General features: G+C 56.1%; 1 protein-coding gene across 8 annotated transcripts in view, besides 7 other annotated features; it reads left to right on the forward strand.

Moving 5' to 3' along the window:
* GSE1 (Gse1 coiled-coil protein) overlaps positions 1-27,758 on the forward strand; it is a 506,689-nt gene that overhangs the window by 298,765 nt on the left and 180,166 nt on the right. The window lies entirely within an intron of this gene.
* Positions 5,885-6,740: an enhancer, noted in NCBI's record as "H3K27ac-H3K4me1 hESC enhancer chr16:85507767-85508622 (GRCh37/hg19 assembly coordinates)". NCBI's record gives its function as "activates a minimal SCP1, AML or CMV promoter by ChIP-STARR-seq in naive H9 embryonic stem cells {active_cell/tissue: H9 hESC(naive)}" and the evidence as "EXISTENCE:reporter gene assay evidence [ECO:0000049][PMID:30033119]".
* Positions 6,741-7,595: an enhancer, noted in NCBI's record as "H3K4me1 hESC enhancer chr16:85508623-85509477 (GRCh37/hg19 assembly coordinates)". NCBI's record gives its function as "activates a minimal SCP1, AML or CMV promoter by ChIP-STARR-seq in naive H9 embryonic stem cells {active_cell/tissue: H9 hESC(naive)}" and the evidence as "EXISTENCE:reporter gene assay evidence [ECO:0000049][PMID:30033119]".
* Positions 20,430-20,600: a silencer, noted in NCBI's record as "fragment chr16:85522312-85522482 (GRCh37/hg19 assembly coordinates)". NCBI's record gives its function as "represses an EF-1alpha promoter that drives an FKBP-Casp9 reporter gene in an ReSE screen in HepG2 liver carcinoma cells {active_cell/tissue: HepG2}" and the evidence as "EXISTENCE:reporter gene assay evidence [ECO:0000049][PMID:32094911]".
* Positions 21,865-22,712: an enhancer, noted in NCBI's record as "H3K4me1 hESC enhancer chr16:85523747-85524594 (GRCh37/hg19 assembly coordinates)". NCBI's record gives its function as "activates a minimal SCP1, AML or CMV promoter by ChIP-STARR-seq in naive H9 embryonic stem cells {active_cell/tissue: H9 hESC(naive)}" and the evidence as "EXISTENCE:reporter gene assay evidence [ECO:0000049][PMID:30033119]".
* Positions 22,713-23,560: an enhancer, noted in NCBI's record as "H3K27ac-H3K4me1 hESC enhancer chr16:85524595-85525442 (GRCh37/hg19 assembly coordinates)". NCBI's record gives its function as "activates a minimal SCP1, AML or CMV promoter by ChIP-STARR-seq in naive H9 embryonic stem cells {active_cell/tissue: H9 hESC(naive)}" and the evidence as "EXISTENCE:reporter gene assay evidence [ECO:0000049][PMID:30033119]".
* Positions 23,561-24,408: an enhancer, noted in NCBI's record as "H3K27ac-H3K4me1 hESC enhancer chr16:85525443-85526290 (GRCh37/hg19 assembly coordinates)". NCBI's record gives its function as "activates a minimal SCP1, AML or CMV promoter by ChIP-STARR-seq in naive H9 embryonic stem cells {active_cell/tissue: H9 hESC(naive)}" and the evidence as "EXISTENCE:reporter gene assay evidence [ECO:0000049][PMID:30033119]".
* Positions 23,902-24,038: a silencer, noted in NCBI's record as "fragment chr16:85525784-85525920 (GRCh37/hg19 assembly coordinates)". NCBI's record gives its function as "represses an EF-1alpha promoter that drives an FKBP-Casp9 reporter gene in an ReSE screen in phorbol 12-myristate 13-acetate-treated (for megakaryocytic differentiation) K562 erythroleukemia cells {active_cell/tissue: K562(+PMA)}" and the evidence as "EXISTENCE:reporter gene assay evidence [ECO:0000049][PMID:32094911]".

Here is a 27,758-nt window from a genome sequence, read left to right on the forward strand (position 1 = left end):
GCTGGACCAGCTTCTTCTTGTAGGGCCCTTCTTTCCTTTTTTTTTTTTTTTTTTTTTTGAGGTGGGGTCTCACTCTGTCACCCAGGCTGGAGTGCGGTGACGCGACCTTAACTCACTGCAACCTCCACCTCCTGGGTTCAAGTGATTATTCTGCCTCAGCCTCCTGAGTAGCTGACATTACAGGTGAGTGCCACCATGCCCAGCTAGTTTTTGTATTCTTAGTAGAGATAGGGTTTTCACCATGTTGGCCAGGCTGGTCTTGAACTCCTGACCTCCTGTGATCCACCAGCCCCCCTCAGCCTCCCAAAGTGCTGGGATTACAGGTGTGAGACACCACCCCCAGCCCTCGTAGGGCCCTTCTGTGCCTGTGCCACCCAGAGATGTCATCTTGGAGAGCTTTGAGAACAGGAGGGCCATGTCTCTCCCCTCCCTGCCTGGAGCCACGCAGAACAGATGTTGGCAAGAGTGGCTGCCTTTCCCCATCTCCTGATGTCTAAGAGTATGAGCTGGAAGAAGAATAGCTAATCTTAGTGTGCTGATGGCATTGACCATCTACACTGGGTTGAATAGGGCCACCCCCAAAATTCACGTCTACCAGGAACCTCAGAATGTGAACTTATTTGGAAATAGTTTCTTTGCAGGTGTAATTAATTAAGCCTCTTGAGCTAAAATCATCTTGTATTAAAGTGGGCCAGAGGCTGGGCGTGGTGGCTTACACCTGTAATCCCAGCACTTTGGGAGGCCGAGGCAGGTGGATCACCTGAGGTCAGGAGTTCAAGACCAGCCCGGCCAATGTGGCAAAATCCCATCTCTACTAAAAATACAAAAAGTTAGCTGGGTGTGGTGACACGGGCCTGTAATCCCAGCCACTCGGGAGGCTGAGGCAGGAGAATCTCTTGAACCTGGGATGTGGAGGTTGCAGTGAGCCGAGATCGTGCCATTGCACTGCAGCCTGCACAAGAGCAAAACTCCATCTAAAAAAAAAAAAGAAGTGGGCCCGAAATTCAATGACAGGGGCCCTTATGAGAGACAGAAGAGGAGAAAACACAGACACAGGGGCGGCCACGTGAAGATGGAGGCAGAGATGGGAGTGGTGTGGCCACAAGCCAGGATGCGCTGGCGCCCACCAGATGCTGGAAGGGGCAGGAAGGACCCTCCTGAAGAGCTTCTTGTGGGAGCGGGGTTGGACATCTGGCCTCTGGGACTGTGAGGGAGGGCATTTCTTTGTTTTTAGTCACCCAGTTTGTCGCCGTTTGTTAAGGCAATACTAGGACACGGGCATCACCTTTTCCCCACCTTACATGTTTTAAAAATGTGTGATGGTTAAAAATTCTGTCTAGTGTTCCTTGTGGACTCTGAGGCCCCCAGTACTGTGGGGCATAGCTTTGGGGACCTGGGTCCTGCTGCTCCCTGAGGCTGGAAAGTCACTTTCCCTCTCTTGTCCCCAGTTCAGGTGGGAGAAATCAGCCAGGCTGACTGGAGGAAGGTCATTTTCCCGTCTGAAATGCGCCTTGCAAAAATCCAGCCTTTTCCCCAGCAGCTGCTGAAGCGGGTCCCCTAACCTCAGAGGATTAGGGACACCACGAGTGGGAGGCAAGGTGGGAGGGGGAGCCAGGGCCCTTGGCCCGTCAGAGTCCCCGACCAGGCACGGGGTACCCCAGGACCCCATCCTCACTGTGGTTCCCCGCAGTGGCAACCGTGGAAATGGAGGGCTGCTCCCACTCACCCCAGGCCCTCAGGCATCTCAATGCCACCCCCTCCACTGCCCAGAGGCCCCTCCCTGGGATGTGCTCACTCTGAGGGTGAGGGCCACGCTCCAGGGTGCGGGAGCCCCCATCCATGTTCCGCTTTTTATCACCTCCCACCCCTCTAGAAAGTCGGCAGCTCGAGCCAGCTGGGCTGTTCATGCTGTGCCCACGGCACCCAGAACTTGCTGGAACAAGGAGGTGCCTGAATCCTCGGTTGATGTGAGAGGGCACCTGGGGCCAGCCAGCGGGGGTCTTCCCACTGACTTGGAGTGCCTCTGTGGGGCTCGGCGCCCCTCAGTGATCCAGCCGCAGCCAGACTAAGCTCAGCACACCACTGGGCAGAGCTGGGGCTCAGGCCTGGAGAAGTCAGGACTTGCCCGAGGCCCCGGACGCAGAGCTGGGATCCGTGTCTCTTTCCCGAGTGACATGGCCCCTTGGGGTCCCCTTCATGCCCGGCCACTGCACCTGGGATGCTCTATGTGTGGCTTCTTGGGTGCCCCTTGTTGGGGTGCTAAACTCATCTCCCTGGTAACCTTCACCCGATGGGGCCAGATTCCTTCCCAATGCAATTGCTCTGCACCTCAAGGGAGCTTGGGGTCTGGGAGGGTTGTATGGGTGCCCCGGGAAGGGCTGCACCTTGTGGGTCTCCTCCACAGGGGTGAGCAGGTGCGCTTGCAGCCATCGGGCTGCCCAGGAGAGCCAGCCCCCGCCCCCTGCCCACTTCCCTTACCCCCACAGCTGCTGGGGTGGAGAAACGCTGTGACCCAGTCAGTGTTTCTTTTAATGAGCGGCGATTAAAACAGTGTAACCGTGGCAGTTTGGTAGCTTCTTTAGGAGGAAGCAGAGAGCCCAAACAGAACCTGAAAAAAATACAAAGATAAAATAAAACCCAGTGAATTTTTAATAGTGATTATCTCCTGACACATAGCGCGTTGCCATCTGGCAGACACGCGGCCCACTGAAGCTTGGTGCTGGTGGGGAGGAGGGCGCTGGGGGCTCCTACTGCCACCCCAGAGCAGGAGGTGCCAGGCATTCTCTCCATGGACGCCTCCGTGGCATGTCCTTGAGCCCAGCCACGTGAGAGGTGCACGGCTCGGTCCTCCCCCATTCGCCCTGGGTGCTCTCAGCCCGACCCCTGCCCAGAGACGCCCAGTCCCTGCTGCCCTGAAGAAGAGGCTGGGCTCTCAGCATTTCTGGTGGGGGCAGGTCCCCAGCTCCAGGGGTGGCTGAGTGTAGGGATCTGCCAGTCCCAATGCCACCTTATTTCATGTGAGGATTTCGTAGCTCCAACCTCATTTAGTCACAGTTTAAGATGAAGATAGTAAATGTTGGTTGCATGGTACCATAGGTCAGGCTCATAGGCCTTTCAGCCCACATTTATTTAGTTTTCTTTCTTTATTACTTGTTGAGGCAAAGTCTCACTCCATCACCCAGGCTGGAGTGCAGTGGTGAGACCATAGCTCACTGCAGCCTCCATTCCCTGTCTCAGATGATCCTCCTACCTCAGCCTCCCAGAGTAGCTGGGACTACAGGCACACCACCATGCCCAGATAATTTTTTTGCATTTTTTGTAGACACAGGGTCTCGCTATGTTGCCCAGACTGGTCTTGAACTCTTGGGCTTAAGCAATCTGCCCTACCAAAGTACAAGGATTACAGACATGAGCCACTGCACCCAGCCCATTTATTTCTTAATTTACTTTTTTTCGATGATCTCGCTCTGTTGCCCAGGGTGGAGTACAGTGGTGTGATCATAGCTCACTGCAGCCTTGAACTCCTGGGGCCCCAATGATCTTCCCGCCTCAGCCTCCCGAGCAGCTGGGACTGCAGACACACACTGTCGTGCCTGGCTAAGCCCACATTTGTTAAGTGCCCACTTGTGGCTGGCACCTGTGGTGGCCCCTCATGGGGGAAATCTGATGAGTGTTTACACCTTAAGGCACCGTAAGACCGTTGAGGTTTGGGGCCAGATACTTCTTTGTCCTGGGAGCTGTCCTGTGCTTTGTAGGTTGGCCTTGTCCTCTGCTCACGAGATACCAGTAATACTGGTTGTCCCAGTGTGACAACCAGACACCTGCCCAGACATTGCCAGGTGTCTCCTGGGGGATCTCAGACCATCCAAATGTCCCTGTTGAGAAATCCTTGCTTAAGGTGTGTGTATGTTTCCTGGGGCTGCCATGATAAATGACCATAAACTGGGTAGCCTAAAACCACAGGAATGTATTATTTGATAGCTTTACAGACCAGGAGTCCAAAATCAAGGTGTGCGCAGGGCTGTGCTCCCTCTGGAGGCCTGGGGGGAGGAAGCTTCCTGCCTCTTCCAGCCTCTGGTAGCTCCGGGCGTTCCTTGGCTTCTGGCCACACTGCCGTGGTCCCTGCCTTCTCCTCCCGCGGCCTTCTTTCTGAGTGTCTGTCTTTGTGCTATTCTGTGTCCAAATTTCCTTCTCAGAAGGACAGCTCATTGGCCTTAGGACCCACCTTATTCCCGTGTGGCCTCATCTTACCTAATTATATCTGCAAAGGCTCTGTTTACAAATAAGGCCATATTACGGGGTGACCATGCATTATGGGAGGCATAGCGCAGCCCGGCACAGCTCCAAGTTCAGCAGCGGCTCAGGACCCGGTCTGGCCTCCCCCTGTTGGAGCCCCAGGCCTTGCTCAGTCTGACCCTGCTGCTGTCTGCGGCTCTGTCTGCTTCTGCCACCGGGAAATGACTTTAAACGGCCTAAAGGCTAAGGACAAGATCCGGGAAGCTGTCACCATGACATGGATCCAAGTGAGATGACTTTGGCACCTCTGGTAGGGAGCAGGGTGCTGCAGAGCAGTGGTGGCAGGGGGCAGGGGCTGCAGCCTCTCCTGGGCTCCCTGCAGACCCTGCCATGCCATGGCTCCTCCAACTGAGGCTCACTCTATGTGTGTCTGCAGAGAGCTTTTGGCCCAAGCCCACTGGGCTCCTCTCCACATGGGCACAGGCGAGGGAGGCTGAGGAGTTTTGGGGTGGGGGCACAGGAGGTGCGCCCGGCACCAAGATGCCAGGAGCAGGGCACAAGGGAGGCCTCTCGAGGGAGGACATTTGAATGGAGATCAGCAGGAAGCGGGAGGGCCACGCAGAAACTGTCCTTTGTTCCACGGCCTATTTGCTGGTCACTGACTGCACCATTTGCTGTCCTGTGCACTGAGACAGCATTGAGTAAAAGGTACAGGTCCCTGGCCTGGGGAGCTTGTTTCAGGCAATAAACCATAAAAGTGATGAGTGGAAAGGTGCAAAGTGCTGTGGAAACCAAGTTAGTGCAGGGGCAGGGCCAGGAGCTGGTGGGGGAGTGGGCAGGCTGCAGGATTTGAGGGGGTGGTTGGAGTCCTGGGGCTGCCAGATCAAAGCATCACAAACTGAGGGGCTTAAAACCACAGATGTTTGTTCTCTCCGAGTTCAGGAGGCTGGAAGTGTGAAATCTGGCAGGGCCGGGCTCTCTCCAGGGCTCCGAGAGAAGACCCTCCCTGCCTCTGCCGGCTCCCCCTGGCTGCCACGGTCCTTGGCTTGTGGCCGCATGTCCCTGCTCTGTCTTCATGTTGCCTTTGCGCTTTGTCTCCTTTTCTTGTAAGGACACACATCGTGGGATTTAGGACCTGCCCAGATAATCCAGGACCACCTCATTGCAGGAGCCCTCACTTAACCACATCTGCAAAGAGCCTTTTTCCAAATAAGTCACACGCACAGGTTCCAAGGACAGATCATGGTCCTGTCTTTTGCGGGGCGGAGGGGGGGTCACCATTCAGCACTACAGGAGGACAGCAGAGACCTCTCTGAGAAGTCTGGTGGGGAGCAGGGCGCTGCAGGGGAGCGTCTGTCTGTAGCACTCTCCCAGGCACTAGCATGACCAGCTCCGAAAAAAGAGCCGGAGCTGGTCCAATGCCTGGGAGAGAGCTCCAGACAGACGAACAGCCTGGGGGCCGAAGGCCCTGGGGGGCAGCAGGCCTGAAACCAGCACAGGCGGGCAGGGTGTGACATAGGGAGGCTCCCAGCAGAGGAGAAACATGAGCTGACCCATCTTCTGATGGGTCCTCTGCTGCCACATGGAGGATGAGACGTGAGGGTTGAGGCGGAAGCAGGGATGGCAGTGAGCTGGCTCCTGCACCAGTCCAGACGAGAGGTGCTGGGCCAGGCCAGGCCAGGGACCTGGGACAGAGAAGGGGGGCAGAGGTTTGGGCTCTCCATGCAGGGAGAGCCGGCATCTCAGTGCAGCCTCCACCCCGCCGGCCCGTGCTCCAATGGGCTTCTGATTGTCTTGTCTTTCTCCCAAACAGCCTGCCCTGCCCTCTGCCCTCCTCCGCATCCTGCCACGTTGGCAGCTGCTGTTGCTGGGAGCCAGAGGAGAACAGCTGGAGGTGCACGGAGGGAGGCGGGTGGGGGACCTCGGGCAGTGGGGATGCCAGAGGGGCCATGCCAGCCCCGGCGGGGAGTCACATTTCATTTTCCTCTCTGCGGCACTTCCCACAATTAAACCCGGGTGCCTGTGCTGATGACCTGACCCAGCCTTGGGGAACGTGCTTGCCTGGGCTGTGTCCCCATCACCCTGTCTCCTCCCCCAGTCCCCCTTGCTCTTACCACCTCCCTCTCTCTTTCCTCTTGCCCCCCCTCTTCCCCCTCCTCTCCTTTTGTTTCCTCTTTCCCTGTGCCCCTTCCCCTCCTCCCTCTCCCCACTCCCACCTTCTCCTCCCCAACAAGCTCCTCTCTGCCTGGAAACTGAGCCTCCAGGACCCCTGGAAGGGGGAGCCTGGAGAAGAAAGATGCCATGAAGCCCTTGTGCCAGTTTCCGAAAAGAATGTTGCTTTTCATACTTCACCCTTCAATCCTTATCTTCTCTAATTTATTGGACAGACCCCGTGGTACTGACAGATTCGTGGCCAGGACCTTGGCGTCTGAATTTCACTGTAATCTGCCCCTCCACCCTGTTCTCCAGACGTCTCCAGTTTATCTCCTGATGCAGTCAGGGCGACCCCATGTCCTCTGTGCTACCACTAATGTGGCCCAGGGACGATAAATTGTGCCTTGTAATAACACTCCCCGATGGGTTAATTGACCCTGCTCTGACGGGCAGTCCCTGCTGGCCCCCTTCTCTTCCTGCCCCTCTCAGACAAGGCCCCAACTTTTCCATCTCCTTTCCTTCTCTTTCTCCCTGCCTCCACCAGCCCAGACCCCACCCCACCTCCTGTAAACCAGGGGCAGCAGGGGAGGGACGCTTTGCAGAGCAGTGCAAGTACAGACAAGTGCGTCGCTGAATCTGTGATCAGTGCTGGGGGCCCCTCAGGGCTGCCTGTACCTGGGTGGGGTGGGACATCACCAGCCCATAGCCCAAAGGCTAGGGCGGGATGCAGGCAGGCGGACCGTGTTTGTCCTGTAGAGGCACCTGGTGTCCTGAAGCAGGCAAGGGCAGGCTGTCCCTCCAGCCTGGCCATGCCGAGGTGGAGATGGTCTGCTGCCTGGATCCTGTAATTGTGCCAAAGAGTGATGATTTATCACGATGCTGGCTCCAGCCTTCAGAAGCTGGATTATTTGTAGCATGCCTCAGTTTTGTCTGCAGTGCCTGGGCAATTCTGGGCCTTGTAAATCTAGTGACAGGGCCTCTGTCCAGGGGTCGAGGCCTGAAATTTCCCAGGCCAGGGGCCCTCTCCAGAGGGAACTGGAGCATCTTGCTTGTACTGGGAAGAAAGAGGAGGCAGGAGCTTTGGGGGAATGTTTCTTCTAATTGTTTTTCTTTTTTTTTTTTTTTTTTTTTTTTAATACTAGAGACCGGGTTTCACTCTGTTGCCCAGGTTGGTCTCAAGCTCCTGGGCTCAAGTGATCGTTCCACCTCAGCCTCCCTAAGCGCTAGCATTACAGGTGTGAGCCATCGCAGCGGCCACTTCTTTATTATCGTTGTTATTATTGAGACATGGTCTCTCTCTGTCACCCGAGTTGGAGTGCAGTGACACGATCTTGGCTCACTGCAACTGCTGCCTCCCAGGCTAAGATGATTCTCCCGCCTCAGCCTCCCCAGGAGCCGGGACGACAGTTGCGTGCCACCACGCCCAGCTAATTTTTAAAATTTTTTGTAGAGACGGGATTTCGCCATGTTGCCTAGGCTGGCCTCGAACTGCTGAGCTCAAGTGATCCTCCTGCCTGGGCCTCCCAGAGTGCTGGGATTACAGGCGTCAGCCACCGTGCCTCACCTTTTGTTGAGGCCTGCGGGCTTTTAAGAACACGATGGGCTCCCGGAGACCTGGGATGGCGCTCAGTGGAATCGGGTGGGAGTTCCTGTGGCAACTTGCAGGCACCTGCCGAGGCTGGGTTGACGTTCAGGGATGGTGAGGTTTCTGGGGGTCTTCTAATCCCCCCATACACGTGCATATGACAGTCCCAGATAAGGCAGGCAGCCAGCAATCCTGGAACTCACGTCTGCTTTAAACTCCGTGTATCATGGCTTCATGGCGGTTGCTGCCCATGCCTTCTGTTCCCTGGGTCACCAGCCGTTTTTGGTTCATTATATTCCATCCGCCTTGTGGCCTTTGTACGTGCTGTTCCCACTGCCTGGAATGCTGTTCCTGGCTGACCCACTGTGATGATGTAATTCTTTCATTTATTTATTTATTTTTGAGACAGGGTCACTCTGGCATCCAGGCTGGAGTTGACTGGCACAATCACAGCTCAGTCGATCTTCCCACCGCAGCCTCCCCAGTAGCTGGGACTATAGGCGTGCACCACCACGCCTGACCATTTTTTTTTTTTTTTTTAAGCAGAGACAGGGTTTCACTGTGTTGCCCCAGCTGGCCTTGAACTCCTGGGCTCAAGTGATCCTCTCACCTTGGCCTTCCAAAGTGTCGAGGCTACAGGTGTGAGCTACCATGCCTGGCATCGTATGTGGTTCTTTTTTTTTTTTTTTTTTGAGCTGGGGTCTTGCTTTGTTGACCAACTGGAGTGCAGTGGTGTGATCTCTACTAACTGCAACCTCCACTTCCCAGGTTCGAGTGATTGAACCTGCCTCAGCCTCCCTAGTAGCTGGGATGACAGGTGTACGCACCACCATGCCTGGCTAATTTTTGTATTTTTAGTAGAAACGGGGTTTCGCCATGTTGGCCAGGGTGGTCGGGTGATCCGCCTGCCTTGGCCTCCCAAAGTGCTGGGATGTATATGTGGTTCTTGATTCCTGTGCAACTTCTTGCTGAGTTGGAGCTGACCCCGGGGGGCACTGGGTGGGCTTTGGCTCCACAGCCTGTCCCGGGTGCCCAAAACACGTATACAGGAGCTGCTCAGTGAAGATTCCGAATATGCGTTTTGTTTAATGTACATCCTGAGTCTTTGGCCAAAACTAAAACCCTAGGAACCCTTCCTGTGTGTGCTGCCCACCTAGGAGGGTGCCCCCCAGCCACAGTCAAACATGCCCACAGCCAGCTGGGTCTGCTCGGCACCCCTCACCTCCTTATTGTGAATGCTGTGAGCCCCTCCGGCCTACTGGGCTCTCGGTGGTCACTTTCCAGCTGCAGAAAAAGGTCTTAGGTTTTTTTTTTGTTTTTTTTTTTTGAGATGGAGTCTCGCTCTGTCGCCCAGGCTGGAGTGCAGTGGCGCGATCTCGGCTCACCGCAACCTCCACCTGCTGGGTTCAAGTGATTCTCCTGCTTCAGCCTCCTGAGTAATTGGGATTAGAGGCACCCGCCACCATGCCCGGCTAATTTTTTGTATTTTTAGTAGAGACGGGGTTTCACTATGCTGGCCAGGCTGGTCTCGAACTCCTGACCTTGTGATCCGCCCGCCTCGGCCTCCCAAAGTGTTGAGATTACAGGTGTGAACCACCGCGCCCGGCCTAGGGTTTTGTTTTTTCAAACAGCTTTATTGAGATGAAGTTCTCATATCATGCATTTCACCCTTTTCAAGTGTACAGGCCCATGGTGTTGAGTCATCACGACCTCATTTCAGAACGTTCCCGTCACTCCAGAAAGAATCCCCCTCCCCATTAGCGGTCACTCCGCGCTCCTCATTTCTGCACCCTGGCCTCGGACATCCACTCATCCGCTTTCTGTCTGTGGATTTCCCTGTTCTGGTCATTTCAGAGAAATGGACCTCCCACACTGTGTGACCTTTTGTGTCCAGCTTCTTCCAGGAAGCATTGCATCTTCACGGTTCGTCCGTGCAGCAGCGTGCGTCAGTACTTCCTACCTTCCTATGGCTGAGGAATATTCCATGGCATGGGGCCAGGCACGGTGGCTCATGCCTGTCATCGCAGCACCTTGGGAGGCCGAGGCGGGCAGATCACTTGAGACCAGGAGTTCAAGACCAGCCTGGCCAACATGGTGAAACCCCGTCCCTACTAAAAATACAAAAATTAGCCAGGTATGGTTGCGGGCACCTGTAGTCCCAGCTACTCGGGAGGCTGAAGCAGGAGAATCACCTGAATGTGGGAGGCAGAGGTTGCAGTGAGCTGAGATCGTGCCATTGCACTGCAGCCTGGGTGACAGCACGAAACTGTCTCAAAAAAAAAAAAAAAAAATTCCATGGCCTGCCATGGACAGACCAGTGTGTCCATTCTTCAGTTGGTGGCCATGTGGGCTAGCTCTACCATTTGGGTATCAAGAATGATGCTGGCATGAACGTTCTTGCATAAGGTTTTTCTTCTTTTTTTCTCCTTTTTTTGAGGTGGAGTCTGGCTCTGTCGCCCAGGCTGGAGTGCAGTGGCTCCATCTCAGCTCACTGCAACCTCTGCCTCCCAAGTTCAAGTTATTATCCTGCCTCAGCCTCCGAAGTAGTTGGAATTACAACCATGCACCACCATGCCCCGCTCATTTATTTTCTTTCTTTCTTTCTTTCTTTCTTTCTTTCTTTCTTTCTTTCTTTCTTTCTTTCTTTCTTTCTTTCTTTCTTTCTTTCTTTCTTTCTCTTTCTTTCTTTCTTTCTTTTTTTTTCTTTCTTTCTTTCCTTCCTTCCTTCCTTCCTTCCTTCCTTCTTTCCCTCCCTCCCTCCCTACCTCCTTCCTTCCTTCCTTCCTTCCAGATGGAGTCTCGCTCTGTCGCCCAGGCTGGAGTGCAGTGGCACGATCTCGGCTCATTGCAAACTCTGCCTCCCGGGTTCACACCATTCTTCTGCCTCAGCCTCCCAAGTAGCTGGGACTATAGGCGCCCGCCACCATGCCCGGCTAATTTTTTTTTTTTTTTTTTTTTTTTTAGTAGAGACGGGGTTTCACCGTGTTAGCCAGGATGGTCTTGATCTCCTGACCCCGTGATCCACCCACCTCGGCCTCCCAAAGTGCTAGGATTACAGGCGTGAGCCACTGTGTCCGGCCTTAGTTTTTGTATTTTTAGTAGAGATGGGGTTTCATCATGTTGGCCAGGCTGGTCTCAAACTCCTGACCTCAGGTGATCTGCACGTCTCAGCCTCCCAAAGTGCCGAGGTTACAGGCATGAGCCACCATGCCTGGCCAATTTTTGTATTTTTAGTAGAGATGGGGTTTCTCCACGTTGACCAGGCTGGTCTCAAGCTCCTGACTTCAGGTGATCTGCCTGCCTTTGCCTCCCAAAGTGCTGGGATTACAGGTGTGAGCCACCGTGCCTGGCTTATATGAGTTTGTGTGTGGGCGTTATGTTTTCAATTCGCTGAGTGTCGAGGTTTTTAGCTCACCAACCCTTCTCTGTGCAGGAAACCTCCTGTTGGTGCTGGGACACTGAGCGCAGCGAGGGGCTGGCTGGGGACGTCCCATTGCCGTGTGAACATTTTCCATGTGTCACTGTGTGCCAGGTGCCGGCCTGAACCCTTCACAGAAGCCCAAGCAGCTCTGCAGTGGGGCTGTCATAATTCCTAGTACAGAGTGGGGAAACTGAGGCCCGGGCCCAGTGGCTTATAGTTCTGCAGCATCGAGGTTTGTTTTCTCCTCAAAGCTCTCCATGCCTGGTGTTCAGATTCAGATCTGAGGACCCAAAGCTCAGAAAGGACCCAAGGTGCTTGAGGCCACACAGCGGCCATGATGCACGACGGGTGATGTTTCTCTGCCATTGCCCGTGTTCCTGGCCGGTCCCCAGCACTTGGTTGAAATCACTGACTCTCACAACATCCTCAACGTCCTGTTCCCATTTACTAGATGATGAAACTGAGGCACGGAGAGGTGAAGTAAGGAGCCAGGGTCATCGGCCTCAAGGGCCCCAGCCAGGAGTAAGACTCAGGCAGTTTGGCTCCAGAATCTACAGCGTGACCCTGACATTGTACCACTTGCATGAGAGGCAGTGTTTCGATGGGGATGGAGGGAAATTCCAGGGCCCCATTGGGTGAGGCGGGACTGGGAGTTTTCCTGGGCGACGTCTTCTGCATCTCGCTTGCTTCCTGGCCTTGCGGCAGGGGGCGCGCGTGGCACCAGTGTGAGCCTCCACCCCCCTCTGCCTGCTCCAGGGTCCCTGGTGAGCTCTGCCGCCACCTCCACTCCACCCTGTTTCTGAGCCCTCTTGGGCCTCGACACTCCTGTGACTGCAGCTGCTGAAGGGACACCCGTTCTTTGTCCTGGGAGGCCCAGTGGAGCCCCCACCTTCCCCCGCCACCCAGAACAAATCACATGGCCCATCGGACCTGTTCCTCTGCTTGGTGTCCGATTGCCCTCCTGGGAGACAGAGCAGGGACAATCCACCCTGGGTGTTGCCTTCCCAGCAGGTGTGGCGGGCGGCAGGGGTGGCCAAGGTCCCTGAGAAGATGTGGGGCCAGACTGGGTGGCCAGCACTGTCGGTCAGGTCCAGGGCCCCCATCCCCACCGTCTGATTTTTCTGCCTGACATCCCAGCGCCTGCTCCCTGAAGTTTTGACCTGAGGCCCAGAGACCTCTGCTTGCCTCCCTGCACTCCTGAAATAATACTCCGGAGCAGCTGGGCTCCACGCTGAGCAAGCACCGGCGGTGCCCCCAGGGAGCAGCGCGTGCAGAACCGCAGGTCTTCCACCCCCTCCTGGGACAGCGTGTGCTGCCTTTGCTCTGATTTCAGTTTTATTTTTTAATCTGCCCTTGCTCCCTCTCTGGGCCGCTCGGCCTCCGGCCTCGGTTTCGGCGTTTTTCTCCAACCGGCCCTGACACCTGCTCTTCCTGGGACAGCCACGCCTCGCTTCTCTCCCCACCCGGTCCATCCCCAAGCAGCTGAGGTCAGAGCCAGGCTTCCCAGGTTTACACCCAGCCTCAGCACCTGGTGTAGCCACTCTGTGCCTCAGTTTCTTTCTCTGTAAAATGGAGATAAAAGACACCTCCTTTTTTTGAAAAATTTCCTGAGATAAACCATGTAAAGCGCATAGCACAGTCAGTGGTTTTTGTCATGGGAGAGCTTGTACCAGGCTCAGAGGGGAAGAGGCAGGGGTTAACTCTGGGGACAGAGGAGCTTGATGCTTAGGAAGGGTTTTGAGGGGTGTATAGGAGTTTTCTAGAAGGAGGTGGTAGGGAGAGAAGGGCAATCCATGTAAGAGGAACCTTGCCAAGGAATTGAAGTTAGTTCTTTGTGGATGGCTCCTCTTCCTTCCAGGTGGGGAGTTGATTGAGATGCTTTTGTTTGGCTGGAATCTTCTGTCCTGTGTGTGTGCCATGGTTTGGGCAATTGATGTCCGTTTTCTGGAAGTGCTTGATGTGGTCACTTTCCAGGAGCTGAGACGAGCAGGTGGACACAGGGCCCAGCAGCTCCTTTTGACCTTGGGTGTCGCTAATTCTGCCGCCAGAGCAAATGCATTTAGGAGGACTCTGCCCAATGCCCGGCACTTTGGGAGATGTGGTGAGAAGCGTGGAAAAGGTGAGAAGATAGTCCTGTGAGACCATGTTTTGGGGCCCAGAGATGTTATTTGTGATGTACCTAAAAGGTCACACGGCGCAGAGGTGGCAGAGCTGGGGTGCAGGGCAGCCCTCCAGCCGGCATCCACATTCTCAGCCGCCGACGGACCATACCGGCCTGCTCCTCAAGGCCCTGGGGGCAGGGTGGCCGATGCCCTCGCCGGGACTACGCCCCTTGCAGGCGGGCCATCTGGCCTCAGTCATTCGGCCTTTGGATTTCATGTCCCCACCCATGAAGGGAGCCGCTGTTGTGGACGACCCAACTTGTCATGTTTGTTCGGGACCCAGGCGGCTGTAGGAGGGAGGCCTTGGCATGATGCTCAGTGTCTCCAGGTGATGCCCAGTGCTGTCGGCTGGAGAAGAGCCGTGGGTGATGGGAGACAGTGGGTGAGGGTCCAGCTCCAGGACCCTCCAGAACATGCTGGGACTCACTGGCACTGGGGGTGCTCGGATGTGTGCCCAGTCCTGCCAGGTGAGAGATCGCACTTGCGTGCTTCCTGGAGGAGGGCGTGGGTGCTTCAAGCTGCCCTGCAAGGGGATTAGAAAGGCTCTACTTGGCTTCAGAGCAGGGACCAGGTCAGGTGGTCTGGATTCAGACCCCCAGCCCATCTCTGACAACTCGAGCGACCCGCGACCTGCAGCGGGTCCCTCAGCCTCCACGTGACTCAGTTCCCCCCCCAAATAAAATCCTGGTAACAACAGTCCTTACCTGGGGGCTTAATATGAGAACCGACGTGAGTGACGTGGATGGGACATCTGTCTTCAGTGCCAGCCTCTGTTTTGAAGTGTGTGTTTTGCTTGTATGTACAGATCAGGCACCCCCGTCTGCAAATCCAGCATCCAAGGTGTTCCAAAATACAAAGCTCAGGCGAGCACAGTGGCTCACCCCTGTAATCCCAGCACTTTGGGAGGCCAAGGAGGGCGGATCACCTGAGGTCAGGAGTTCGAGACCAGCCTGACCAACATGGCGAAACCCTGTCCCTACTAAAAATACAAAGATTAGCCAGGCATGGTGGAGGGTGCCTGTAATCTCAGCTCCTTGGGAGGCTGAGGCAGGAGAATCGCTTGAACCCAGGAGGCAGAGGTTGCAGTGAGCCAAGATTGCGCCATTGCACTCCAGCCAGGATGACAGAGTGAGACTCCGTCTCAAAAAAAAAAAAAAAAAAAATACCAAACTCTCTGTGTAGCAGTGCGACGCTACATCTGGAAGATTCCACACATAAGGACTTCACATGAACTTTATTTCATGTACAAATTATTCAAAGTATTGTGTAAGTTACCTCTGGCTATGTGGATCAGGTGTATATGAAGCAGAAATGAATTTCCTGTTTACACTTGGGTCCCATCCCCAAGACATCTCACTGTGTATTAATACATGCAAACATTCTGAAACCTGAAAAAGCGAGGCTCTCTGTCCCGAGCTTTCAGAGGAGGAAGCCTCAGCTGTCGTTCCCGCTGTTCCCTGCCTGGGTGGGTCATGGGAGAGCGAGAACAGAAACGGGGCAGAGGGGAGTACGTGGAGTTGAGTCCCCTTCTCTGTGACCTTCAACCTTGGGCAAGTCCCTCACCCACTCTGTGCCTCAGTTTCCCCACCTGTACCCTGGGGTGCTAAGGGGCTGGCCACGAGGGTTGTGAGAGCCTGTCTAGTTCCCGTGGCCCAGCGCAGCCCAGCACACAGCAAGTGCTCCATGAAGCCTATGAACAGTTGTTTCTGCTCCCTTCTCTTCCACCAGGCGATGCCCAGGCCCCCGGCCACTGTCTCCGCCCTCTTGGTAGGCCCTGTGGGATCAAGTGTCTCCGAGGCGGCGGGCTGAGACGGATGGGCCTCCTGGCCGCACACCTGAGAACATGCTGGCAAAAGCGTTTGCTTAATTAATTGACTTTGAGCGAGGGAGCCCGTCCCCGTGTAAACCTAGCAGCAGGCTCGGTGCTTGCCGCCGGGATGCTGCGAATGCAAGGCTAGACTTTAAATAAGGGTGTGATTATTGTGTGAATAATTGAAGAATGTTGGGGAGCTTGCAGTCCTCGGTGTACCGTCCCCTGCCAGCAGGCCTCTGGGCCCTGCCCGTCACGGGTACAACTCTGCTGCCATCCTCTCAGCTGGGACAGTGGGGGACTTTCAGACCTAAGCGTTGGAGGAAACCTCCTCAGCGACCCTCCCCGAGAGGTGCGTCCCTGTTTTCCAGATGGGGAAACTGAGGCAGAGCTGGGGTTACCCCAGAAGACCCTCAGATTCGCGGTAGGATGACGTCCCACACTTGGTGACTTTATGTGGCTCCCGGACCAGTTATGCCGTGCAGGAATATGCCCCTTCATAGAACCGCAGTGAGGTTTTTCCATCCTAACAGTCTTCCAACTGGGACGGTGAGCAAGACGTGGCCAGGGGCCAGTGGGTCCCACACACCTGCCTCTCTGCCTTTCTCCTCCGCGGGTCCCCTGGGAACCAGGAGAGGGGTCTGCGCTCAGAGCCAGCATAGCCAGCAGGACTCAGATGGGAGCCTGGATTCCCATTTCTGCCAGTGATCGACAGGTTCCTTCTGGAGATAAATTAGTTTTTAAAAATTAGTTGATATAAATTATCCCTCCAAAACCCAGACCAGAAACAACAGATGGAGTTGAAGGAGTAAGTAAATAATACAGGGCAGGGTGTACACAGCCGTGGCGGAAACCACAGAAGTGGCCCTTGAGTGACGAAGCCAGGGAGACGCCTCCGCGACACAGCAGGGGCCACCATTGGTGCTTCAGGGGCCAGGCCCATTGGAACAGATTTTCTGCACAGCAGCTTACGTGTCTCCTGAGGGAGGGGCTGTTATTTCCCACATTTTTACAGCTGGGGAAGTAGGCGCAGAGAAGCTCAGTAACCTCCTTCAATTGCACAGCAGAGCCCCGACTCAAAACCAGGGCCCTGGCACAGAGTCCCTCTCAGCCACTCCACCTCTGCTCCATGCGCCGGCTCTGTGCCTGGGGTGGCCCCTCTTCTGTAGCCAGCTCCCCTGCCTTACCTGTCTCCTTGGGCCCCGTTTCCAGTTCACGGTCTTTGGCCTCCACTGTGATGGCCATGTGGGTGCTGCCTCACCCTGTGCCTGCCCTGGGCATGGGCTGCACCCCGAATCTAGCCTGAGGAACCTGCCTGCTCAGCCCTCATTCAGCCTTGATTCCTCAGCACCTGTCCTAGGCCCGGGGCCAGGCCCTGGGGACCCAACAGTGATCGCCCCTTGCCAGGCTACCCGTTGTCCAGATGGTGCGGTAGGGCCACTTCCGCCACCACAGACAAAAGCAGGATTTATGGTTGTCAGAAAACCATCTGGAACATTCCGGGCAGCGTTCACGCCACCACACCTCCCAAGGAAGTGGAGCGACAGCCTGTGCCCGGAGATAGGCACCCCAGGGCCACCCACTCACGGTTTCCCGCGCCCAGAGGCATGGATCCCAGGCCCTGCATTTTCCCAGAGAATGGCGTTGGTCCGGAGAGGGAGAGACAGGAGCCTGCAGTCACACAGCAGGGTGGGCCAGGTCCCGTGCAGCCGTTGTACAGCTACTGTCACACCAGGGGCGGTGGGGAGCCCTGTCCTCCTCCTCTTCCTCCCCTGTGCCTTCACTTCTGCCTTTATTTCATGTTCCTGGGCGGCAAAGGAGGGAGCCAGGCATGGCCCCTGCTCAGGCTCTGCCTGTGGCGCCTGCCGCCTGCCGTTCTGGGAGGGCATCATCCTTCATCCCGCAGGCCCGGCTGCCGCCGCCGCCGCGTTAAGGACAGATGGATTACAGCTAATGAGCCTGCTCGCACCATTAGCACTCGAGAGCCTTCCTCGGATTAAAGCCGTGCGCAGCCCGCCGGGCCAGCTTGTCACTCGCGAGGTGGGCGCCGAGGCGGCCGGCTGTGCATCAGTGTGCCCGTAATTGTTCCTGTAATTGGGCCGCCTCGCTCCTGGGGAGCCTGATGCCACCCTCCCTAGGGATGGCAGGCAGGCAGAAGCAGCCCTCCCCCTGCAGCCCCTACCCAACCCGGGCCCCAGGTAGGAGCTGGGAGCTGCTGCTCCGGGAAACACCGATGTTCTTCCCCCAAACACACACAGAGAGGGAGCACAGGCCCCTTCACCCCGGCCCTGAGGCCATGAGCCTGCACTGGCCGCTGCCTCTCCTCCATAGGGGCCCTGTTCTGGCCCAGAAGCCTGCTAGGGGGTGTCATGGCCCCATTCTACAGATGGGGACGTAACGGCAGCTCAGTGCAGTGAGGGTGCCCACCTCAGGTGCAGCCCTGCCAACTGGGGGCACCCCATGCCCAGTCCCTCCAATTGCAGCTTCTGTCCTCACCTCCTCTTCCTCTTCTCTCCCTCCCTACTCCCTTCCTCCCTGCCTGCCTCTCTCCCTCTCCCCTTCTCTCTGTACTCACACATAACACGCTTGCACACTCACACACTCATTCACATGCTCCCTTATACTCACAGGTGGACGCTGTCACCTGCTCTCACACACACGTACGCACACTCCTGCTCTTGCACGCATGTTGTCACGTGCACACGAGCCCGGGAAGCCTTCCAAGGGCAGCAGGGACCCTCCCCTGTTCTCCCCGGCGTTGCCCAGGGCCGCCGTTACCTGGCAGCACAGCTCCCACCCCTTGGCATGGCAGGCATCAAAAAGACATTGCAGCCGCTAAGTGGCACTAGGTGGCTCCGTTCGGGGGTGGCATGTCTCCTGTCTTAGAATTTCAGGATTCCAAACTGATAAGGCCTTGCCTCTGTGTGGAACCGTCCACGGCTCCTGTGGTGTGGAGTCTCCTCTCTCCCTGAGAGGCCTGCCCTGGTCCCCAGCCTCGTCCCACTCCTGCCCTGGCGAGGATGGTGGGAGCGCCGTCCCGCCCTCTCTCCTGCCGCCTCCAGCAGCCTCTCCATGCCCGGGACGGAGCGGGCATCTGTCCTGTTGCACAGGCTGTTCTCGGGGGTTCCCCCAGCCCCCCGTTCGTGGCTTGTGAGAAGAGCCCTCTCCCTCCCTCCCGGCATGGCTGGGGCCTCGCCGGTGCCTGGTGCTCAGTGCGCATTTCTTGGGATGAGTTTAGCTGTTGCTAAACATAGGCTGCAGGATTCAGGCGAAAGTATAGTTTTTTACTGATGAGTGGTCATTTTGTGCCTAGCCCTGTGCCCACCTCAGTATAGGCACCCCAGGGACTTGGGGTTCACGGGTGGTTGCTATGTACCCCAGGGGGTTCTGATACAGGGAGGCCTTGGGCCATGCTGGAAGGCAAGAATTCCAGAAGCTTCCAGAGGCTGCCGTGCCCCAGCGGATGGGCTCTCTGTCCAGTTGGGAAAAGAGGGGAAGCAAAACGGGAGCAGAAGAGATTGTCCTGCTCGAGGTGAGCATGGATACAAATAGCCTCTCACTGGGTGTCACCTCCTCACCCCCCCAGGAAAAATTCTGCATTTACAAAAATGACTGAGTCTGCCTTGCACTCACAGCCTTGCGTCTCCTCCCGTCACGTGGCGAGCTACGTCCCGTGGATACAGAGGAGTGTTTTAGAGCTCAGGTTTTGCAGAACTGAGCTCTGGGGTCTGTAGAGTGTTCCTGGCTGTGACAGGCATGTCGAGGGCCTGAGAACCCTCGCATGGTCTACGTTCGCACCTGGGCAGGCCGATTTCATAAACACTGAGGCCTCGTTATGAGCCAGGAAGATGTGAGCCCACAGTGACCACATTATTCCCCTTATTTCTATCTGTGTTATAGATGGGAAACAGGCACGGAGAGGCTAGGTGACCCGCCCAGGTCACACAGCTGAGAACGGCAGAGCCAGGCTCTCGAATCCAGGTCCCCAAGTCCAGGATGGGAATCACCCCGCGATACAACCTTGATGGCGACCCCAGAATAGAAGCAGGGAGCTGGGGGCTTGGGGCCAGGGCTGTGCCCTCGGGAAATGGGCGGTGGTGGGGGAAGGAGGTGGGTCGTCCAGGCCACTGCTCATTCTGGAATGGTGGAGCTCAAGGCAGGCATCTGTGTGACCTTGCACGGTTAACGTGCCCTTTCCGCCTCAGTTGGTGGTCCCTCAAGGCCGTGGCTCCTGGCCTCACAAAGGGTGGTTCGGGGCAAGGGTGACCCACCCATCACTGATGCCCCTGGCACCTCTAGGGCTATACCCCAGTGCCACTAGTCACTCCTCTGGGCTCTGCAGAGCAGTGGTAGCCCCACTGCCTGGCCATGGAGGCTCCTAGCAGGACCAGACAAGGGGAATCTGGGGGAACGTCTTGGAGTCTGTGGCTGTCCTCGCTGTGACCTTGCAGGGCCATGCTTCCCTCTGCAGCCAGGAAGGAAGCGGAGGAAAACCCGAGTGATGGGGTTGGCTTCTGGAGGGCCTGTCCTTCCTCCCAGGGGACATGGGCCCTGCTGCCTCATCTTCTTCTTGGTCCTTCCAGCTCTTCAGTTTCCCCATCTAGCATCCTCGTCCTCTTGCAGTCTTTTCTCCACTTAATTCAGCTTGTCTGCCCGCCTCCGTTTATTAAGCTCCTATTGTGTGCTTAGGAGTATGCTCAGAGTACAAACAGAGGATGGGACCTGGTTCCCATCTGTGGTTGTCGCACATTCATTTATTCGCACAGCCAGCACGTTACAGCCTACGGGGCTCTCTGCATGGCTAAGCTCTAGAAACGCAGGGTCTTGTTGCAAGTCTGGCTTATTCCTCTCTCAGCAGGTCCAAGCTCCCTGTTCCTGCCAGGTACTGAACTGACTGGTTACGAAATGCTCACAGCCAGACAGGGAAGGGCAGAGGCACCAGGCACTCAGGTTCTCGGTGAAAAGTGCCACAAGAGAGGAAGTTCAAGGTGCCTCAGGAACAGTCTTTCCGGAGGTCATGAAGTTGGACTTGGGTTTCGAAGGATGTGCAGGAGTTGTGAGGTGGAGAGCAGAGGACAGAGTGATGGAGACTGGAGGAGGACCTTGAGCTGCCTCTGGGAGAAGCTTGAGCACACCAGAGAATTAGGCAAGGGCCTCTTCGTCTGGGGACCGGGGGGATCAGAGGTGGGTGATTTCCTGGACAGTGTGGCCAGAGAGGGAAGGTGAAACAGCAGAAGACCCCCCCATTCTAACAGCCCCCCGGGGGTCAGATTTGGGATGAGGGCCATCAACAGCCCTGGCCTTTCGTTTTTAAGTTGTTAGTGTTTGCAGTGATTCTTTCCCGCTCCATGAGGCAACATGGTACAAATTACACCAGGAGAAGCGGGTCCAGAGCTGCCGTCCGCAGACCTTTCTGTCATGCTGGGAAGTATCCATGTCTGCAGCGTCCCGTGTGCTACCAATGAGCTACCCACAGCCTGGGCAACGCAGGAATGGAATTTTAATTTTATTTCATGTTAATTAGCTTAACTTTGAATTGAAATCATCACCTGTGGCTATTCTACTGGACAGCTCAGGTCTGGAGTCAGAGACCCTCTCCCTGCCCCCAGCCAGCCCCTCCCCATCCTGGATGGGCTGTTGAGCCGGGCCGGTGAGAATTTTCTGAGCAACGTCCCTGCCACCAAGATGCAAGAGGCTAGTGGCCCCTGCCTGTCAGTGGGCACTGGGGGCTGGGGGGCTGCCTAGAAACCAGGTGGTACATGGCTCCAGCACCATCTGCCTCTGCAGTTCTCAGAACCGCTGCAGAAGCTCTCAAGCAGAGACAGGCAGTGGCATATCGCCCTTCCAAGGAGCAGGGACTGTGCAGCCATCGGACCCAGACACACAGCCAGTGCCCACCCCGCAGCGCCTGCCCCACAGCCCCCGCCCCATAGCACCCACCCCACAAGCCGTGCTTCATTCGTGAAGTTGCTACGCGGCCCGCGCCTCCTTCACAAGAGGATGGGCTCTTCCCAGCTGAACCCCCAGTGTGGTGACTCAGACCCCGTCTGAACTGGGGTGAATATAGCGTCCCCTCAAACGTCATGTCTGCCCAGAACCTCAGAACGTGACCCTATTTGGAAATTGGGTTTTTGCAGATGTCATCGAGTTGAGATGAGGTCACATGGGACTAGGGTGGGCCCTAAATCCAATCTGATTGGTAGTTTTTAGGAGAAGAGGAGAGACAGGCAGGAAAGGCCACGTGAAGACAGGCGAGAGTGTAGCCGTGGCAGCCACAGCCACGCAGCGCCCACACCCACCGGGAGTGGGAATGAGGCAGGAAGGACCTACCTCCTTTAGAGCCTTCTGTGGGGGCACAGCCCTGCCCACCCCTGGATTTCAGACTTCTGGGCTTCAGAACTGAGAGAGAAGAAAGATCTGTGGCTTTATGCTATTTGCAGTCCTGTGTTATGGTGGGCCCTGGAGACATACAGGTGGGGGTGGTGGCAGATACCTGCCTTGGCCTGCTGGCTGCTGCTCCAGCCTCCCTTGCGCTAGATGTTGAGAGGCTGAGGGGCCCAGGAGCACCTCATGTTTTCTGTGTTCCCTGGAGGAGACAACGTTCTATAAATCAACAAGAGCTGCTAGGTGCTCATGTGGGCAGGTGGGGCCTTCACGGATGCCAGGAGCTGGGACCCGTCTATCCCTGATTCTGCTGCCCTGGGGCACACCCCTGGGCCTTCGTCTCCTCATGTGTAAAAGGGGCAGCAGGGTAGAGCAGGTGATGTCCGCAGAAGCGCCCATTCCTGCACCCCCTTCAGAGGTCTAGATCCTCAACTTGACCTCCCAGGCCCAGGGCATCGTAGCCAGAAGGAATGATGATGTAGGAGGCTGTCACCATGGTCCGCCTGCCTGGCTCCCAGGCCAGCCCCTCGCTCGCTAGCTCCTGCTGCTCCTGAGGAGGTGCCCGGTCACCGCAGAGAGGCACCCCGAGTGGAGGCGGCCACACCACGAGTGGATGCTGTGGCTGCCCCGACTTTGATCCCAGGGCGGGAACGGAGAGCACTGTGACTCCAGCCCTGGCTCGGAGCACCATGTCCGTCAATAGAAGAGGAAGGCTTTGTGCAGCAGTAGCGTGGGGCCTGCCGGGCAATTGATTTAAATCATTTTATAGAGAACCTATGTAAAATAAAAAGCCTTTAATCACATTTGTATCCATTTCCAGGCTCAGTAAATCAATTTGAATTGAGCTGGGTGCCACGGTTACAGCTGATTAGCGTGTGTATGTATGGTCAAATTAATGCCGGCCAAGTCTGCTGGATGGGGGCATAGCCATTAGCGGCCCCGGGAGCCTCCCCAACGCGGGGCTGGACTCCACACCCCGATCTCTCCCCCTGCCTCTGGCCGCCAGGGTACCCCAAAGCCCTCCTTGAGGTAGGTCCTGCAGGCGCCGGGGGAGGGGTACAGCTGGGCCCCCCAAGCCCTGTCGCAGGGGGCGGCACCAGAGCAGATGGAAAGAGCTTTTGAGCCTTCTCAGCTGCAGGTCAGCCCGGAGCCGCTAGTAGGCACTGTTGTGTTCACGCAGCATCAGGCCTCAATTCAGGCCTCTGGGTGCCACCTGGGGCCACGAGAAGGGACCCAGGATCAATCTGTTTCTTCACCCAATGTTCACTGAGCACCTACCAGCACCTGGGGTGCCCTGGAGCCACGAGGAACAGTCCCTGCCCTTGGAGACAGACAGGAAGCTCCCTACAGGAACAGGAGAGGTGGGGTGTTGGAAGATGCAGGGTATTCTGGGGGGCTGGGTGGTGGCTTTAGAAGAGAGTGGGTTGGGAGGGGCTTTATGAGAAGGTGATATGTGCCAGATGACTTGGGGGGCCAGGGTGTGAGCTCAGAAGCTGCCCTCTGGCAGGGGTGCTGGGGCGCAGGGAGGCCTGGCCTGTGGGCAAGGAGGGCGAGACGGCTGTGTGGCAGCTGGAAGGAGCTTGGGCTCAGGCGGGGTCATGGCCCGCCTGAGGAGTCAGACATGATGGTGGAGGAGGTGAGAAAAGTGGCCGAGCCTGGTCTCCTTTCAGGAAGGGGCAGCTGGTACCCCGAGTCCTCCTGGGAGCCTGAAAGCCAGGTCTCAGCGCCACAGTCTGATGAGGAGAGGGGCAGAGTGGGGGTGACACTGGGCCTGGCTGGATGCAGCCTGGAGGGTGCCCCTTTCTTGGGAGACACAGCGCCCCTTGCGAGGTCAGCCAGGGGGTGGCTGTGGCCTGTGTTGACACCACATGGCTCCATTCATGTGGACAGGAGGTGCCTTCTGTCTGCCTGTCCCTGTCCCCGCCTGGTGCTCTGAGCACCCTGTGGGCTGGGGCATCTTTCTGCTTACCTGGGCACCACCACCACCACCGAGGTGCTGGGAAGCTGACCCCTGGACACGGGCAGCCAGGCCTGGAGAGCTGGCTACCACTGGACACGCCCGCCCCTCCGAGGCAGCGGGTGCCAGACAGGCTTGGCCGGAGCCTCCGGTTGACTTGCTTTTCCTGCTTGTCAGAACCAGCTTTTTGGCGGGGACACAGGGACCTTGATGGTGAGCGTGTTTGATCTATAAATAGACTAGAGGCTGCCGGAGGCTGCACTGGCTGGGAGCCGCCCCCGTCGGCCTGTGCTGAGGTTTCTGGGGTTCCATCTCTAGCAGTTCGGGGACTCAGATTCTGTCCCCGCCAGCAGGCCCCATCCCTGTTTGAGTCCCCCTCTCAAATCGAATCCCCTCCCCCTTGCTGCACGCTACTTTCTTAGGAATTCTTTCCCTGGAATTCCAGCAATGATGGCAACAGCAGTAAATGCTTACCTGGTGCTTACGAAATACCAGCCCCTGTTCTGAGGGCCTCACCCACGTTCACTTGTTTAATATCCACAAGAGTTCAATGAGGGGAGGTACTTTCATATCACCACTTTACAGATGGACGACTAGGGCCCAGAGAGGCCGAACAGCTTGTCTGAGGCTCCACAGCTCCGAAGTGGCAGAGGTTGGATTTCAACACAGGTAGTTTCCAGATTCAGCGCCCTTAAGTAGCCACACTGCCTACCAGAGATGACACAGTCAGGCCTCTTCCCTCCCAGAGGGAGCCGTCCCTGGGGGATTCTGACACATGACCTCACGGTGCCTTTCTGTTCCTTCCTGAGTTTGCCTGGAGTGGTGCTGGGCTCAGATCACACATGTTCATCCTAGGAGTATTTGCTGAGCATCTGCTATGAGCCTGGAGCAGGTGACAGAGCAGGGACAGAGGTAGACACCCCTGCCCTGGAGGAGCTTATCGTCTCTGTGTGTGTTGGGGTTGGCGATACACGTCCTGAGAGTATGTGATCGGTCTGTGGGAATGCGCACTAAAAGAGCTCAGAGCTAGTGCAGGGTATGGAGCCACAGGGCTGGTGCCAGTGGGGGACAGCGGAGGCTGGTGGGGGGATGTTGGAGCAGAGGCCTGGAGGAAGGGAGCTGGTGAGCCCTGTGTTCTCCAGGGAGGGGCGATGCAGAGGCCCCAGGCAGAACTTTGCTGTGGCAAATTCCCATTGCACCTGGCTTGAGGTTTAAGACTCTGTATTAGCTGAGGCAGGGGGATTGCTTGAAGCCAGGAGTTCAAGACCAGCCTGAGTGACATAGTGAGACCCCATTTCTATAACAAAATAATATTAGCTGGGCAGGGTGGTGCACATCTGTAGTCTTCTACTTGGGAGGCCAAGGCAGGAGGATTGCTTGAGTCCAGGAGTTGGAGGCTGCAGTAAACTATGATCACACTGCTGTACTCCAGCATGGCCAACAGAGGCAAACCCCATCTTTACAAAAAATTATATTAGCCAGCTGTGGCCGGGCACAGTGGCTCACACCTGTAATCCCAGCACTTTGGGAGGCCGAGGCAGGCGGATCTCCTGAGGTCGGGAGTTCAAGACCAGCCTGACCAACATGGAGAAACCCCGTCTCTACTAAAAATTCAAAATTAGCCGGGCGTGGTGGCACATGCCTGTCATCCCAGCTACTTGGGAGGCTGAGGCAGGAGAATCGCTTGAACCCGGGAGGCGGAGGTGGAGGTGGAGAATCGCTTGAACCCGGGAGGTAGAGGTTGTGGTAAGCCGAGATCATGCCATTGCACTCTAGCCTGGGCAACGAGAGTGAGACTCCGTCTCAAAAAAAAAAAAAAAAAAAGCCAGCTGTGGTGGTACACATCTGTAGTCCCAGCTACTTGGGAGCTCCTCGCTTGAGCTCAGGAGTTCAAAACCAGCCTGCGCAATATAAGTGAGACCTTGTCTCTACAAAAAGAAAAAAAAAATTAGCTTGACATGGTAGTGGTTGCCTGTAGTCCCAGCTACCTTGGGAGGCTGAGGTGGGAGGATCGCTTGGGCCCAGGAGTTTGAGGCTACAGTCACAACATTGCACTCCCGCCTGGGCGATAAAGTAAGACTCTGTCTCAAACAAAAAAGTCAGTGTATTCGTTCCCTAAAGCTGCCATTAAGAACTTACCCCGAACAGAGGGGCTTATAACAACAGAAGCATATTCTCTCCCAGTTCTGGAGGCCACAAGTCTGAAGTCAAGGCATCAGCAGGGCCGTGCTCCCTGTGCAGGCTCTAGGGGAATAGTTTCCCTGCGCCTCCCAACTTCTGGTGGCTTCTGGTGGCTCCTGGTGACCTTTGGCTTGTGGCCGCTTCACTACAGTCTCTTCCTCTGGCTTTGAGTGTCTTCTTGTAAGGACCCCAGTCATGTTGGACTTGGGGCCCACCCTATTCCAAAATGACCTTATCCTTAGTAACTAATAACATCTGCAAAGATCCCATTTCCAAATAAGGTCACCTTTTTTTTTTTTTTTCCAAGACAGGGTCTCACTCTGTTGCCCAGGCTGGAGTTCAGTGGTGCAATCCCAGCTCACTGCAGCCTCCACTTCCAGGCATGCCCCACCACGCCCAGCTAATTTTTTGTATTTTTGTAGAGAGAGGGTTTTGCCATGTTGCCCAAACTGGTCTCAAACTCCTGGACTCAAGCAACCCTCCCTCCTTGGCCTCCCAAAGTGCTGGGACTGCAGGTATGAGCAACTACACCTGGCCCCAAATAAGGTCACATTCTGAGATTCTGGGTGGATATAAATTTGGGGGGAACTCTATTAAATCTAGTGCAGACTCAGGAGCTAGAAGGGGCTTTACAGCTCACCAAGTGTGACCCCCTGTTCTTCTGATGAGGAAGCCAAGCCCAGAAGGGCGAGGTGCCTCTGTGGCAGCCCCCACACAGAAAGGAGGTGCCGGGCCCTGTCCCCTGCCTCTGCCGGTGCAGGCTTTCTGCATCGGACTCCTGCTGCTTGGAAACAGGTGGGCTGTGGAGAGGTCAACCACTGGGCACAGGGGCAGAGCCCTGCTGGGTCCGGCCCGGCCCAGGAGTTTCTAGGTCAGGCTGGTAGCCTTCCTATGGGCTATGATCATGCTGGGCTGTTTCCAGCACTAAATTATTTAACGTGTGGTTATTCTAGTGTTCTTTGTCCTTCGGGAGGAGGGGAGAAAGGGAGAGAAAAGCTCAGGATGGCTGGGCCTGTTCCCCGAAAGCCAAGGTTGGGGTCCCTGAAAATACTGACCCCAAGTCAAGCTAGTTTGGAAGACCCTGCCCGTAATGTTTTCTGAGGCAAAGGGTGGTGTGGGGGCGAGGAGGGAGCACTGGAGTGGGAGTCCCGGCCTGTGGTTCGGTAGCGGCAGCGTGAGCCCTGCTAGGTTGCTCAGGACACCGACAAAGGCCGATACTGTCTTGCTGGGTTTGAAGCTCAGATGAGAACATGCTGGGAACATTTTATTTATTTATTTATTTATTTATTTATTTATTTATTTATTTATTTGTGTATTTATTTATTCATTTATGTTTTATTTTATTTGAGACAGAGTCTTACTCTGTCGGGCCCAGGCTGGGGTGCAGTGGTGGGATCTCAGCTCCCTGCAGCCTCTACCTCCAGGGTTCAAGCAATTCTTACGCCTCTCAATAAGCTGGGATTACAGGTGCGCACTACCACGTCTAGCTAATTTTTTAAAAAAAATTTTTAGTAGAGATGGGGTTTCACTGTGTTGGCCAGGCTGGTCTCAAAACTCCTGGCCTCAGGTGATCTGCCCACCTTGGCCTCCCAAAGTGCTGGGATTACAGGCATGAGCCACTACGCCCAGCCATGCTGGGGACATTTTAAACCCCTGCCAGGGCAGTTAAGGCCTAATCAAGGCCTCCAGGAGGCTGGAGGTGGGGAGGCTGAGTTTGAGGCCTGCCAGAGCAGCTTGTCCTGATAGAAAGGATGCCAGAGCCTGGAGACCTGGGGTGATTCATCGAGCATCCCTCGGTCTCAGACTCCTCATTTGTCAAAAGCCGCGGGGGGACCTGCCTCAGAGCGTCACAGGGAACCTCGGGAATC

The sequence above is a fragment of the Homo sapiens genome, chromosome 16 (assembly GCF_000001405.40).
Source record: "Homo sapiens chromosome 16, GRCh38.p14 Primary Assembly".
NCBI classification, from domain to species: Eukaryota; Metazoa; Chordata; class Mammalia; order Primates; family Hominidae; genus Homo; species Homo sapiens.